Consider the following 16,574-nt stretch of genomic DNA (forward strand, 5'->3'; position numbering starts at 1 on the left):
CAAAAATACAAAAACTTAGTCGGGTGTGGTGGCGTGCATCTGTGGTCCCAGCTACTTGGGAGGCTGGGGAAGGAGGATCGCTTGAGCTCAGGGGGCAGAGGTTGCAGTGAGCTGAGATCATGCCACTGCACTCCAGCCTGGGTGACAGAGTGAGACCCCATCTCAAAACAAAACAAAACAAAACAAAACAAAACAAAACAAAACAAAAACACTTCAAAAAAAGCCATCTCAGAGTATATTAGAGAAAAATTCAGGTGTCCTTGTCAATACTTTGAACCCCAAATCACAGGTGACTGAATAAATAAAAATATAATAGTGTTGTACTTGTATTCTATTTTTATTCACATAAATATATATTTGTGAATGAAGAATATAAAGGTCATTCATTCTTCGGGAGTAGCCAAATATTATTCTTGGATAAAACATGTAATGTCATTGTTCCCAAACTTGTATTCCATTGTTTTGGTTACATGTAAAACTGGTGTTACTGAATATTGCTTTGGCATTACTGCTACAATTCACGTTTTTGAGAAACAAAAATACAGAAACTTCCCTTCGAAATTACTGTCAGAGTGACGTTGAGGACAATGTGTTTCATATCCTGTAACAAGCTGTTCATCAGGACTCTCAAGAGAAATATCTCTTCATGCTCATATCAGGAAAAGATGGTTTTTTGTGAAACAAAACCTTAAAACATATTACAAAAACAGTCAACCTTGCAAATAATGCAGTTCTTTTTGCTTTGGCTACTGGGAAGCTCAGAGCCAAATCTACATTCTACTTCTAGTGATTTAATGGGATTTTACAGTAGGCATTTCTTAAACTAATTGTATCTTCTGGTTTTATTTTATTAATCCACTCTTATTTCCTTTTCCATTGATCTGTTCAACAATTTGTATTTTATTTATTATTTATCACGCAAGCAACTTCAAGGCCTTATTTATACTTACATAGGCATAAATTAATCTAGTTAAAAACAATTGATGTAGAGAGCTATTGAATGTACTACCTTACATTTTAAATTAAATGAGAGATGAGCTTATTGAAAGTAAGTGATACCGCAGAGGTGGAATGGGAAACTTGAAGAGCAGTTTTACGTTGATGAAGAGTAAGCAGCTCTCAAGTCATTAATCAGTAAAGTATACATTTATTATTTAAAAATTACAGCACTGGTAAAATCAGTAATATGGCATTAGACTGATATTTTGTTGCACTGTTTCAAGTCACAATAAAGTTTCAAAGAAACGAAATACTGATTTTACTTTACATGTCTCATTTTCTGCCTAACTATTTAGGTCAGGGAATTTGTCTTTACTTTTAAAAAGTGTATCCATTAAGAATACTAATACTGAGGCTATAGTCTGAGTTTATTTAATTTGCCAATTGAAATAATTCCATGGAAAACTGTCAAATGTATAATTCTGGCACATAACAGAATTAACCTTATATTACAACAAACAAAACTCATTTTAAAAATCAATGAAACCCATATTACAGCAAAATATAAGGAGATAAATTAAAAATATAAAATATTATTAGAAGAGCTTGCCTAGAAATGACGAGCTCTATTGAAACACTACCGCACAGCCAGTTAGAACATGTTTATGCTTAAGAAACGATGGAAATAATTACTAAAAAGAATGACACAAAGAAATATAAACAAGGATCATAAAGCAGAAGAAGACTGAAAACAATGTGTATATAATTGTCGGAATATCAGAGTGCTCTGAACTTTTAAAATCCTGAATCATCCAACAGGATGATGCAACAATATTCCAATCTTAGAATGGGAGGATTTGACAAAACCTTAGTGTTTATCCCAAGCTAGGGGTTAACTCCCAGGGGAAATTATGAACTAAGTGCAGCAATTAATCATGGTGATGAGTAAAAAAGTACAGTAACATCTCTGTGACCAACTCATGGGAGTGTGGAGAAAGTCCCTTTGGCAGCTGTCTGCCCAGCTAATGGTACTTACTAATTAATGGAGAGGCCAAATCTGAACCTACCCTACAGCCTTGTGCTGAAAGCTGCTTTGTAGCTATTCATATAAATGTAGACTGGTCCAGGTCAAAATACAGTAAAAGTGAGGGCACTTTTTGTCTCTATGTCTCTGGAAGGAATAATAAAAGAAAATTATCAGTGAGTCACATGAGGCTCCATAATCCACGATAGACTAAACAGTAAATGTGGCCTTTTCCTAGATCAGTGTGATTAATTCAAAAGTCAGAACCATCTGTAGCAGTTTTAAGAACAGAAATAAATTTATAAAAAGTAATCATACCTTTTCAATAAAAAGTAATAAGTAATACCTTTTAAATATATCTTTTATCAGCATTTGACTGGTAGCAGCCATTTGAGTGGCTATTTCATGCAAGCATTTATCAGCCATTCCGGAAGAGGTGGGTTGCAGTGGGGGCAGAATTCTGGTAACCAAAGAATCATTTATTAAATGGTTCCATTCTTGATCAGTTTAGCTTGCTTATAGTAATCACATCAATTATTTATGGAGCACTTACCATGTGCTAAGACATGTTTTCATGTGACATTTTTTCACTTAGTTACCATAATCCTGTGAAGTGGGTGCTACCATCCTTCCCATTTTCCACTTGAGGAAACAATGGTTTAGAGTGGATAAGTACAAGCCTGGTGTATAGAAGACAGTCAGAAAGTGGGATTAAAGCGTGGGTTTATCCCCATGGCCCACTTAAACTCTTATGTAGTTACTTACATGGATACTGCCTCTGAAGCCATGTTCAGTCAGTTCTCCAGGGAGCTCCATTCTTGCTCCTTGAAAAGTCTTGGTAGTATGCTAGCTGTTCTATTCCAGAATAGAAGCTTCTGTACTATTCCAAAGAAATAAGACATGATTTACAATTTCATACATGGTAAGGCATACACCTACCTAGTTTCCAAGATAACATCTCCTATATCTTTTTTTCTCCTCCCTTATCCCTTGTCAAACTTGAAAACTCAATTTTAGATCAGAAAAGGACCCTAGAGGCTATCTTGTCTGGCCTTCTGATTATTTTAAAATGGTAAAACCAAGGTCAAAAGAGGTTAAATGATTTCGAGTTGGTCAGTAGGGCTCCCCAGTGTCTGGAGTCCCCATCTAGTGCTTTGTCCCATTATCTTACAGTAGTTTTCATCTCTGCCCCGTATTTTTCCAGGCATCTGATGCAGGAAAGGTATGATGAAAATGATTTTTTTCAGTCTAGTAAAGGAAACTTTACCACTGACATTTGGACTGCTCTCATGGTATAACAGAAACACTGACACAGGCTTTAGCAAGCTTCTCTATCGCAACCACAGGCTGTGACTCTGGACACAAACAGTACAGAAAATTAATCTCAATTCTCTGTTTGAACTAAAAGGAAGAAAGCAAACACATGAACGTGTCAGAATGGGGAGTTAACCTGGAGAAGAAATAAGAAGCCAGATAAAAATAGAAAAGCAAGAAAGAACTTAGGAAATATATAGGGAAATATCAGCAGTATAAATCAGATTAACATGGGACCCCCCCTTGTCATTTTTAGGTTTAACATTTCTGATCTGTCAGACAGTTTTCCTATCGCCATTTCCTTCTGCTTCCCTGCAGCCCTTCTTTCTGACACCACTTGGGAAAATAATCTGTAAACTAATTACTAATTGACATAAGATTAACTAAAAAGAGCAGTCACACACACATATGCACATCCACACATAAACTTGTGCCTATACACTGTATAAGTCATGTAAATAATCACACTGTACCCCATAAATATGTATAGTTATATCATAAAGAATTTTAAAAGCCCCAAACTCCACAATTTTTAGACACTTTAGATGCCTACTATTGTAATACATAATCTTTCTTGCAGTGTTTCACAGGGTTCTACTGGTATTTTGGGTGAAACAATTATTCCTTGGATAGACTATCCACACGTGACATGATCATTATCCCTTCTGCCACCAAATCCCGTTAGTTGCAGTTAGTCATCCTGACAACCAGAAAACACCCTTAGGCATTTCCAAATGCCCCCAGGGTGGGGCAGTACTTTCCTAAGTGAGAAACACTAGGGCTGAGAACAAGACTCTAGGTCCAACTCAGAGGAATTATTAACATAGATTGATATATTTTATTCAAGACATATTTACTGAGTGCTTGCCATGTGTAAGGCCCTATGGTAGCTGGCTGCTAGGTGCTGGGGGGTACATTGGTAAGTCCAAACAAATAAGGATTTTGCTGTAATGGATCATGCAAGATGGTATGAGAGACACATATTGATTAAATCTTCACACACACACACACACATAAATTATAAAGTTCTAATAATAGCAACAAAGAGACACATAGTGTTATTAGAGTCTACAGAGGATAAGTTAGAGAAGATTCCCTGAAAAAGTGATGCTTGAGCTGAGATCTGAAGCATAAGCAGGAGTTTACTTGGTGATGACAAAGGGCAACAACATTGTTGGTAGAGGAAACAGCATGTTCAATGCTGCACCGATGACACAGAGCACGGCATGTAAGAGAGATGAACAGGAGGCCAATGTGGCTACACCTGAGAGAATGAGAGGGAGCTCCCTGTGAGATGAGGCTGTAGACATAAGGAAAAGCCAGTTCACATGTGGCCTTGGAGCCTAGTCAATAAGTAGAATACCCAGGCGTAACTAACCAAGTGAAAGCTGGTAGAAAGCAGAAGGAAGTAGATTACATAAAACATTGATTGATCAGCGGGTGTTGTCTCATGAACCTTTTAATCAAATCAGCTCTCATCTGGATGGAGGTCAAGTTTGCACAGATAAAAAATATCTTCAGTGTGTTGTGATTGTGTAGAATGTACTCACTCAACAAATTTGGTACCATGCAAGGTCCTATGAAAGTTGTAACATGTAAGACTAGATATCTGTTGGGGAACGTTGGGGGAATCTGGTGACAACCTGGAAAGGTCAAGTGTTTCAGGGGAATGAACACTGAAGTTGAAGCTTCAGGAACTGGGTCTTGCTACCAGACTTTCTTGCCTCATGGGAACTCCACCAGTCCCTGATCAGAATTTTCATCCCTAAAACAAGGACAAAAATACCCAAGTTTCTGGGCAAGATTAACTGAACTATCTTAAGGGAGAACATCTAACCCAATATAGAGTACATCCCAAGTGCACAATTCATGGTTTTAACAAAACAAAGTTTCTTCAGCTGTAAAGTAAAGGTCATAATAACTTCTCTGACACTCCAAGGATGTTGTCATCAGGCCAAATGGGAAAAGCTGGTAAAGAAGCACAAGGTATTACTATCATCAATGAATAAATGTGGCATGAATGGCACCCTGAACTTAACATCCCTTGTTTTCTCTGTTGTAGAGGCGAACTGCTCCATTGAATACCCTTTTCCTCTTAGCCCTCAGAAAAATCACGGGTATGGGCAAGAAGAAATGATGATATGCAGTTTTTGATACGATGAAATAAACATTACTGTGATAAGATTTTAAGTGCTATAAATCTACATGTACACAAATTTTCTTTGGACGCGTTGCAGAAAACAAAGTATTGTTTCCAAATAAGCCTATGGACCAACATTTTGTCAAATGTTAGCTAATCATGGTTCTTTTTTAAGCAAATCCAGTTTACAGCAATTTGCAGGGTGTACCAATGCTGGGGATGCTCCGCCTCATATCCCCTCAGCCCACCTTTAAATAAACATGTAGGTGTAGTGAACACTTCCTAGTATGCTGATAACTTTCCACTGCAAGTGCCTGTTTTCACTGCTTCTCCATGCAAGGGCTTTCTCTGCAACTGTGGCAGCTTGCCCAGCCTGCTTGTTGGGAAGCCTAGAAGCCTCTGAAACTTAACCGCCCTAGGGATTACCCGCAACCCATAATGGCTGAGAGTTGGCAGATAAATATTTCATATTACTTTGTTCTCTGATGGAATTATTCTGAAGCACGTTCTACATGGTTGCTCAGAGGGTCCTCAATAGGACTGAGGCCTAGGAGTCCACTGAGATAACCTGCTTATTAAAATTCTTTTAGGGATTTTTCCCTTCTCTGTCTCACTTCCCCTGCCTTCTTGTATGCACTTCTTATAATTAACTACCTGAACCCACTTCTTGTCTCGTGATATACTTTTGGGAGAACCCAAGGTTAGACATAGAATTCCTGGAATTGTTCAGTTCATAATGCACAATTTCCACTTACAATGGCACACTGATGACTACTCTAAAAAAAATGGCCCTGTTCTCTGTAGAAAGAGGAGATACCTACTTTTAAACATCTCTTAAGGGGAAAAGTCTAAAATCAAGGATACATTTCATGGGAGGGTGAGTGTGATCTGTTTAGAATATCAGCATTTAGATTTTAAACTGCATTTGAACATTAGGCCACACTAATGCCCACTAACTTTGGAGGGTCATTTACTTTAAAAGCAACTAGTTGAAAGATTAAGTAATTTAATTTGATAGATGGCTTTGTGCCTGAATGTGCTTTAACACCTTTTGATCCTAATTGCCTATATTGAAGGTGTTAAGTTTGACTTGCTAAATAAAGCCTAGAAGGAGTTAACATTTCATTTGAGTGACCTACAAATGCCCCCCAGCCAAGCCTCTTGGAGTGCTTCTAATGGATGCTAAATTATACAACCCAAGTGATTAGCTATTTTAGATACTGAATTAGTAAGGATGCTAGACCATAAGCTCAATGAAGAAAAGAGCTGTACTTATCTTATTCACCTTTCTACCTTAATATGGTGCCTTGTACTTACTAAGTGTTCAACAAAGTTTTCTTGAATAAATGAACACATGGCAACCTCCATTTAAATGACTTTTATTATTCTCATATGAGTTAAGATGGGAGAAGATTTGGCATTTAAATGGTTGGCAATCTAAGGAGAAAATACTATCACGCATCTATCCTTTATCTTCAGTGTGAAGTTATAAAGTCAGAAAGCTACCCCACTCTTTTCTGGTCCATTTACATATTCATATCTGGGAAGTGAGAAGCAAGAGAAAGTTGAAAGACTGCAAGATGTAAGAGTGATCCCTAAAAGAAACACTTCACCCATACAAATACTTGCTTAAACTCACTATAGTCTGTTCTTTCAGAAGAATCCGCGTGAAGGAATCATGGGACTTCAGGTCAGAATGAATTTTGTAGGATATTCTTTATGCTATGCTAGGGGAAAAAGGGAGTTTAGACAGTATCAACTTCATACTCGCAGCAAGTAAGCAACAGCTAATCAATCACTAGAGATCATCATCTTTTCTTGGGGTGAACACATATTATCTTATTGGTTTACAAGTGGTGTACCTCGGTTAATTTTAGATTTGAGGTCAGTCTCAACGTAGCGATGACTTAGCAAAGTGCAAAATAATAAAAACCTAGCAACGTGGACATGTTTTGCATAATCATTGAATTTCTATAGGACTCAGGATTCTCCCAGATTGTATATCAGTCCTGACTTGGTCTTGTTAATTTTTGATATCCACCCTCCATCCAAATCTCATTCCATTAGACTCGGAAATGTTGAAATGTTGTCTGCTAATATCTGGGTAATCATTCTTCTGTGCTATATAAGACTGTCAGAATTTGTATTTTTGCTGTGATGCTTGCTATTCCCAGTTCACAGAAACCTAAAGTGTTATCATCAACATCTGACAGTATGAACTTCAGGGTTTGTTAGAAAAACCACTTAAGTGTGTGAGATAAGGAAAAGGAGAAACAAGGGCTTTGACTTGGCTGTGTATAGATAGTGAAGGAAAACTCCATAAATGGAAGATCCAATCATTTTGGAATTTTACTTGAAGAGAAATTACAAAACGTCAGCAATTTTAAAGCCTCAATTCCTGACGCCTTCTATCCAGTTCAATCAATAAAGCTATGCTTTAACTGGAGCTCAGGACATCCTGGGAATATCCAGATTGTCTCTCTGATTCTCTGCCACTGCTCTGTGAATAAGAACTGCCAAAGATTTCTTACATCGTTAGCACTCACTGGCCCACTCTGACTTGCTCTTCTGGCTCTTTACGAATGTATATGCTTTGCCTGAAATTGGAAAGCACTTGCTCTTAATTTTCTCTGCATTAAGCAAGTGTTTCCCTGGCAGATGCAGTTTGCGCAGGCATATTTTTAAGCGCTCCCCCTGCTGGCAAGTCTGTGTAAACAGTTTGTTGGCCTCTCTAGGCCCTGGCTACTATTAAAGCCACTTCACCTGTCAGCTTAGGAGAGCTGTCTGTGATTCCATAAGGCCCCAGTTAGGCACTCACATTTACAGAAGGACAGGAGCAGCAATTTAGCCTTTAACTATTAGCTTGCCATAACAGATTGCATTATCAACAGCCGCTCCAACACTCAGAATGATAAGATGCAACCTGGGTTCATTTCAGGGGATGCTGAGGGCCTGCTGAACATGCCAACTTTGCCTTATAGGAGATAAAAAGCTTCTCCTTCAGTATCTGTACTTAACAAGGTTGACCATCTTGCTTTTGTCTGCTTTATCTCACATACTTTTCTTATTTAATAAGCAAATGTGATGTTAATAGGTATTAACATTGGCAACATTTTCAGTTTTTCTTAAGTGGTTTTAAAAAGGATCACAGAAAAAGGACAAAGTCTAAAGGTTGTGTACTAGAACACAAGTAGGCATGCTTTGCATGATAATTAAATTTCTATAGGACTCAGTATCTTCCCGATATGTAGGAGATAAGTCTGAGGTATTTTTAGAAAAAACAGGCTGGGCACAGTGGTTCACGCCTGTAATCACAGCACTTTGGGAGGCCAAGGCGGGTGGATCACAAGATCAGGAGTTCGAGACCAGCCTGGCCAACATAGTGAAACCCCCGTCTCTACTAAAAATACAAAAATTCGCTGGGCGTGGTGGTGCACACCTGTAATCCCAGCTACTCAGGAGGCTGAGGCAGGAGAATCACTTGAACCCAGGAGGCGGAGATTGCAGTGAGCCGAGATCTCGCCATTGCAGTCCAGCCCGGGTGACAATGTGAGACTCCATCTCAAAAAAAAAAAAAAAGGAAAAAGAAGAAACATTTAAAAATCTGAGGCTGATGGAATAAAATATTTATTTCGAAAGGGGGCAAAATGTTGCCAGTAATTAATAACATGGGTTCTCCAGAGTATTACTAAACATTGCAAATTTGAATGGTTTGACTTTGTTTCATAATCCTTTGCTGAATAAACAAATTTATGTATATTTATATAAGAAGGCTTACTCCTCATTCATGGATTCATAAAAGGAAGTACATAGTCTTAACTGTAATAATCATTTGAAGGCCACAGGGATGGAAATCAGCAGACCTGTGTTTATGTTCTGTCCTAAACTATTTTTTGTCTTTTTCTAAAGCCACTTAGTGGGCCTCGTTACCCATATGTAACAGGCAAAGATGGTAAATCCTAAGGCCTTTGGCAACTCTATAGTTTGGTGATTATATAATTACTATAGAATAAAAAAAAAAAAGTAGTTTGTAAAAGCACTGCTTCTACTCTGTCTTCAGTCAGATTCCCTGAAAGGAGAGCCTGAGATAAGGATTTTTTTGTAAGTTATTTCCTGAGGGTTTTCGGGAGAAACCTGTCAGGAAGTGGGTTTAGAAAGACAGGGCAGGGGAAAGAGCCGAGCAAAGATAAGATTTTAGAAGACTAGCCTTAGCCTGATCCCACAGGGAGCTCTGGAGCATCAACTGTATCACTGTTTTTCCCACGTTAAAGAAAGCAAGCAAGGTGGGCTTTTGTATCTCCATATTGATAAGACTTTTGCCAAGGAGCACACTGGGAAATGGAGGCAGAGCTTCCCAGACTTTTGTGAATGGGGCAATCCTCTGGAGAAGTGAATGTGAACTGTTAGCATTCAGCACCACAGAAGCTAGGGGGTAGGTGGCCTGGCCTGATAAAGGGAATCTGGATGAGGCACCCATAGCATCTGTTGAATACTATTTCTTCTTTTCTCAATCTAACTTAAATGTCAAATAGTATTACCAGGTTACAAAACATTCATATTATTTATCTCACTGGACCTTATAATTTTTCACACAGTAGGCATTTGATAGATAAAAGTTAAAAGAACTGCTTATTGTGTTTTACAAAAAAGGAGAAGCTCTTATATAGTTGGAAATTACTTTTGTTACTATTTAATTTAGATAATATATTGTAGGAAATGGTTATTCGATGAGAAAGCAGAAAATGGAACTCAACAATTAAGGCTTCCTGGAAAAAAAAGTTCTCTATTCTTTAGCGGAGAATGAAGATTTAACATTAAGAATGGCCTGTCCTCACAAGTAAAATTGAAGTTAAAGTAACCTCGAATTTTTTTAAATTTCTATCAAGTGATCTTGTTCCAGGAATTAATATTACACTTAGACTTGATGATTACCAGGTAAAGAACATTCATTAGAACTTTAACAAAAAAAAAAAAAAACAAAAAAAAAAAAACAGAGTATAATTAAGGCTGATAATCATTTGTTTTTGTTTAAAAAATACAAGTCTGCCCACAGTGGTAGAGATTTCTACCTATAAAATGTTCCCCTGAAACAGACTACTTCTTGAAATATGAATTAGGGGTTTAATTCTTGTATTAGTCTGTTTTGCATTGCTATAAAGGAATATCTGAGGCTGGGTAATTTATAAAGAAAACAGATTTACTTGGCTCACAGTTCTGTGGGCTGTACAAAAAGCATGGTGCCAGCATCTGCTTCTGGTCAGGACCTCAGGAAGATTTTACTCTCAGTGGAAAGTGAAGAGGGAGCAGGAGTGGCACATGGAGAGAGAGGGAGCAAGAAAGGGGAGGGAGGTGCCAGATTCTTTTTAAGAACCAGCATTCCTGTGAACTAATAGAATGGGAAGTCACTCGTTACTGCATCAAGTCATTCATGAAGGATCTATCCCCATGACCCAAACACCTCCCACCAGGCCCCACCTCCAACCCTGAGGATAACATTTCAGTATGAGATCTGAAGGGGAGAAATATTAAACTATATCAGTTCTTTAACACTCAACTTGTTTAAAACATCATGAATACCATTTTAAGCTGTCGATAGTAGCATCGGCCTTATAATGAAGCAAGACTGTAGACATTTTTTTTTAAAAGGGAAGCTAGCAGAGATCATGAAGGAACTGTGTATAAGAGGACAGGCACAGGGAAAACGGACGTAGTGAAAGACAAATGTGGTTGATTTCACCATGTTGTCTTGGAGAGTCTTAAAGGATTTTTTAGTAAAGGCCTTCAATCTGTTTCAGGTCATAGGCCCCTTTGAGAATTTGATGAAAGTTATCAAATTCTTCCCTTTGGGGGAGGAAAGTCCTCAAATGCCTTATTACTTTCCTCTCCAAAAGGGAAAATGTACATGCACACAACATTTTGCTATCAGTTTAGAGTAATTATAGAACATTGAATCCCTCCACAAATCACTACTGTGCAGAGAAATATTAGTATGTTTGAGACTACGAGAAAGAAATAACAGGGATACACCAGAAGGAAGTTCTGTTCTGAATACTATCTAGTTTTTCTTTCACTTAGAGAAAGTATATCTCAGTTATGATGACGTTAATGAAGCTTAAATGAATAATAAATACAGTTCAGCATATCTAACACTACATTCACAAAGGCTTTTTCATGAAGAAAAAAAAGGTAATTATAGTTGGAGTTGCATTAGGAGGACCAAAGAGATATTTCACGAGTGAGTAGGCTGAGATCACATTTCTAAACCAGTAAGAACAACCCATTAGGATTTGTTCACAATAAAATTCTGCTTTCCTTTTATTTATTTATTTATTTATTCATTCATTCATTCATTCATTTTGAGATGGAGTCGCGCACTGTCACCCAGGCTTCAGTGCAGGGGCGTGATCTTGGCTCACTACAACCTCTGCCTCCCGGGTTCAAGGGATTCTCGTGCCTCAGCCTCCCAAGTAGCTGGGACTACAGGCACGTGCCATCACACCCGGCTAATTTTTGTATTTTTAGTAGAGACAGGGTTTCGCCACCTTGGCCAGGCTGGTCACGAACTCCTGACTTCAGGTGACCACCTGCCTGGGCCTCCCAAAGTGCTGGGATTACAGGGGGGAGCCACCGAGCCCAGCTGAGCCGCCACACCCCACCTTTCCTTTTAAAGTATCAAATCACACTTTGCTTAATGACTTACTTTCTCGACATCATTACAGCCTCTCTGTTAACTCCAGAAGCAGTCTGCCAAGGAAGCCCTTTGCAAAGCAAATACTTCTCTAGCTCTCCCACTCTTGAGAAACACTAAGAAAGACTAGTCTGATTTACACTGATACTGACCTTTATGTATTCCAGCTCTATTTTTGACCACTAGCTTTTTGGGACCTCCAAGGTCCCTTGCCTCTTCCTAGAACCTGTTGTCTTAGTCTGTCTTCCTAGAACCTGGCTTTCTTCCATATCTTTACAACCAGCTACTTTGTTTTGGGTTATTTGGAGACCACACATCTCCAGCAAGGTCTTCAAGCAGGATTCTGGAAGCAGCTCCAATTCAAAATTTAAAAATTACAATGTACTCTTAAGGCACAGTGTTCATATTTGAAGCAAATCTAGTCGCTTCAGATTTTCATTTCTATTTGAATTGCATGTAAGAGGAGCGCTTCATCATTGCAAGATTCACTTATATGCTCCGCAGTGCTCACGCACTCCATGTGCAGATTAGAAGCCAGACTAATTCTTCTTTCCTCCCAAATTATTAAAACAGGTAATGCACTTTTATTAATGTTAGAATCAACTGAAATAATTCTGGAAAATTAATGCTCTAAGTGAATGCAATTTCAGAGCTCGGTGAGTACATTATAGGCTTATTATTCTTACTATGTATGGGATGTTAAATTTAGCAGTTTTGATTTTCATAGAAGACTAGGAATAATTTCTCTATCTTGTCTGCACGATAACCTGGTCGCTTGGTACTCTTCCTGAAATGAAGAGGTAGCACTGTACCTTGCAATGCCATAATCTTTTATGAGACATTCAGTTAAAATATCACAGGGCAATATAAAAGGATTTTGGTTATTAGGTTTTCTAAGCCAAGCCAAGACATGTAGCATACATGCATCTCTTTTTCTGTCTTTCTCTCTCTTACAAACACACACATACAAATATAAATAATATACCGAAGTATATATTACACCAAGCATTGTACAAAGTTTGAGGTATATCTATGGTAAAAAGAGAACAGACACTATCTTTCCTCATGGAGATTGTTTTCTAGCCGATGAAACCAACAGCACATGCAGAAGCACCGCCCTTCAGTAGGAGGCAAGATGCTCCTTGAGACATAACAGGAAAGAAGATGAGATGCAGTAGGTTCATAATTTGGTAGCGGAAAGAAGATGGAATTTCCACGTAATATTTATTATTTTCCTTAAGAAAGCATGAGATGAGGTCATAATCTCGGAGTAAAGAGGAAGGATCCAAGCAAGGAGATTGAAAGAGGGAAGAGAAGGACTAAACTAGTTATTCGAGGACTTGAATAATATAGAGTTACTGAGCTTGCTGAGGGTCCGTTTAGGTTTGAGCTAAGGAAGTTAACGGGAACGAAACCTGCCCGGTTTTACAATCCTCTCCAGCAAAGTGGCTGGGATGGAAAAGGTAAATGGTTGGTTTAAGTAGGTTAGAGGGTTTTCAAGGGAAATACAATGAAATGAGATGGAAGTCTTTTTTTACAAAGGACCAATGGGATTAGGTTAGTCAGGATGAAAGTGATAAAAAGGGAAATGGTAGATAAAGAACAATCAATCTATCAATAGAAACAATGGACTGGAGGTAATAATTGTTGTAGTTTAAGTTTTAGAGCAAAATATCTGGATGGCAAGAAGGCTACGGTTAGGAAGTAGAATATTTGAACTTTTGATTTTGGAGTTAGTGCAGATTTTGAGGCCCTGGTTCAAGCTGGTGTGGAGGGGTGGAATAGGTCAGTGGTAATGAGTATGGGTCAAATAATTCAGAGTGAGTTTTTAGCCACTTGGATGTTGAAATTGCCAAAATAATAACAGTGACTGGGGCGTGAAAGAAGAATGGGAACTAGGTGATAAAATTCTTCAGTGAACGAAAAGAATGACCAAGAACTTTAAAGGAGTAGCAATAAGAAAGTAGAAAAGGCCAGATGGTCCGCCCCTCAAAGAATAAAGAATTTTATGGGTTTTTTTTAAAAAAAATACAGAACAGTAAGAGTATCAAGGTCTGGAACTGCAAATGGAGAGAAAGGGGAGATATCTGTCCTGAAATGTTAGAGAAAGACAGTACAGCTTTGTTTTAGAGGATGATAGGATCCACAACCTTTGAGGACAGCCAAGTTTCAGTAAAGGTAAACAGGTAATCAGCCTAAAGAGGTTGTTTTAGTTGTGCCAAATAGTTATGTGTGTGAGTGAGTGTGTGTGTGTGTGTGCACACGCGTTCACACGCATATGTGCATAAATATACATGGACTTTCATCATGGCTAAAGAATTTATCATGGCTAAATTCTTTTGGATTTCAAAAATTTGGTAGATAACAATAGTATTTCCCAATGGATTATTTTATTTCTTAAATACATTTGCATAAGTTTCAACCAACTGTCATCAGGCATACTTGTAGAATGAAACCATGCATTTTAATCCTTTAGGGTCTTATACTAAATGGCAAAGCCAATCATGCCCTGGGTCCTATAAAACACTTCTTAAATTTGTGCTTATCTGTCTCCTAAGTGGAGGACTTTGCATCTTCACTGATATAGACCAGTGGTTTTCAAACTGAGCAATAAGGATTTTTAGGGATATTTGTGCATTGGGAACTATTCTGGAAGATTATTGAGGTGAAGTGGGACATCAAACAAGTTGGTGTCTGGACCTGTCCCACTTGTTTTTAACCAGAACAGCTCTGTATTTCTTTTGTATATCGAGTTTTCACATTGTGTTCTAAGAAAGTTTTACTCTGTTTTAAAAAATAAGCTTGGAAATTTTAGACTGGAATGATGAATCTCAGAAGATGCTACTAATCTGTGTAGAGAGTGAGCTATATATAGCCTTTATTCTTTTACTTGGAGTTGTCATACTTCATAACTTATCAGTGTAATTTCTTCATTCATAAACCTGGTGATAATAATGCTTGCCCAAGGTTGTTGAGAGGTCTAATGAGATAATATATGGAAAAGTGCTTTGTTTGACATAAATTTCACGGCTTCTAATCATTGACTAATAAGTCAGTGATCACTTAGAGGCCTGGACATACTGAGGAACAATGATGAACCACACCACCAGTCCATCCTTTGAATCTGTCCTTATTTGTAGAATACAAGACAGAAATAATTCCGAAATCAAATTTCTCCAAAAGCCATCTTTTCAATAATGTTTTAATGCTGTGTCTTTGGGCTTTGTCAAATATCTGCATATGAAAAAGTAAAGTGAAGGACACTGTGTACCTTTCTAAACCCATTACTGGAAACATGATCTATTATGTTGTTCAGTATTCCTTGTAGAAAAAAACATATTATAGTTCTTTCAGTACCAGGAAAAAGGTTTATCCCTTATGAAGAAAGTGTAGGTTTCTGTTGACCTGATTATATATTCTAGTGTGTTTTGCTTTTTGCTTTAACTGCCTGAAAATTCAGAACAAAATCTAATGCTCTGTCATGGTATCCAGCGTCTTCCTACTCTAAACCTCTCTCTTACTTTATCTGAATGTCTCTCTCTTTCTCAGACTCTCTCCACACACATAAACACAGACGATTACAATATCTATTTCTAGCACCCTCATAACAAATGGATCACTTATTTTCCATCTTCCCCCATTATTCCTTTATTTTTAAAGGTTGAATTAATTTACATATTAAATTAATTTGACCTATTACATCATTTTTATAGAAAGATAACTCTGACCCCTTTTCTCTCTATATATACATATTTTTATCAAGATACAGTTGTTGAGCTATTTAATTTTTCCATCAACTTACTTGTTCAGAAGTATATTCATTGAGACACAATGGAATGTGTAAATGTGCATATAAATGTGTGTATATGTATATGTATATGTGTATGTATATATGTGTGTGTAAAACAGAGATGTGTAAGGCCTCAATGAATTCACAGTGTATTTTGTTATGATATAGAAATAATATATAACCATACTATATGCTTTCTAACAAGCATCAGCAAACTATAATCTAAGGAGATTTTTCTATAAGTAAAATTGTATTAGAAAACAGTCATATCCATTTTTTACATATTGTTTATGATTGCTCTGGCAATACAACAACAAAGTTGAGTAGTTGTGACACAGAAATCATGGCCCTCAAAGCCTCAGTTATTTACTCTCTGGCTCTTTATAGAATGTTGCTGGGCCCTGATCTATAGGCGTTTGTTAGTGTATATATACTTTCATACTTGGAGCAGTGGAAAAACTGTTAGTAACCTGATTAGATAATAACTGCCAGGTTTTAGTCTTTATCTTGTATGTGCAAGATTGATTAAGATGTTTTTTACTGAGCAGATAATGTGGTGTTGGTAGTGGGGGGTGCTGTGTCTAGCTCCCTTAGGGCTGGATTGGAAAGGGCAGTGATTGAGGGGTAGATGGCAGTGGCTCTGTGTGAAGTACAAAAGATTGCCTCGAGATAGCTGGTA

The 16,574-nt window shown here is 37.7% G+C and overlaps 1 long non-coding RNA gene across 1 annotated transcript in view; it reads right to left on the minus strand.

Moving 5' to 3' along the window:
- The window catches only part of PTCHD1-AS (PTCHD1 and PHEX antisense RNA), a 1,100,142-nt gene that overhangs the window by 547,496 nt on the left and 536,072 nt on the right, over positions 1-16,574 (minus strand). Inside the window, exon 4 of the long non-coding RNA NR_073010.2 lies at positions 2,729-2,838. This is a non-coding gene — a long non-coding RNA (PTCHD1 and PHEX antisense RNA). The remainder of the gene's footprint in view (positions 1-2,728; positions 2,839-16,574) is intronic.

Source organism: Homo sapiens, chromosome X (assembly GCF_000001405.40).
Source record: "Homo sapiens chromosome X, GRCh38.p14 Primary Assembly".
NCBI classification, from domain to species: Eukaryota; Metazoa; Chordata; class Mammalia; order Primates; family Hominidae; genus Homo; species Homo sapiens.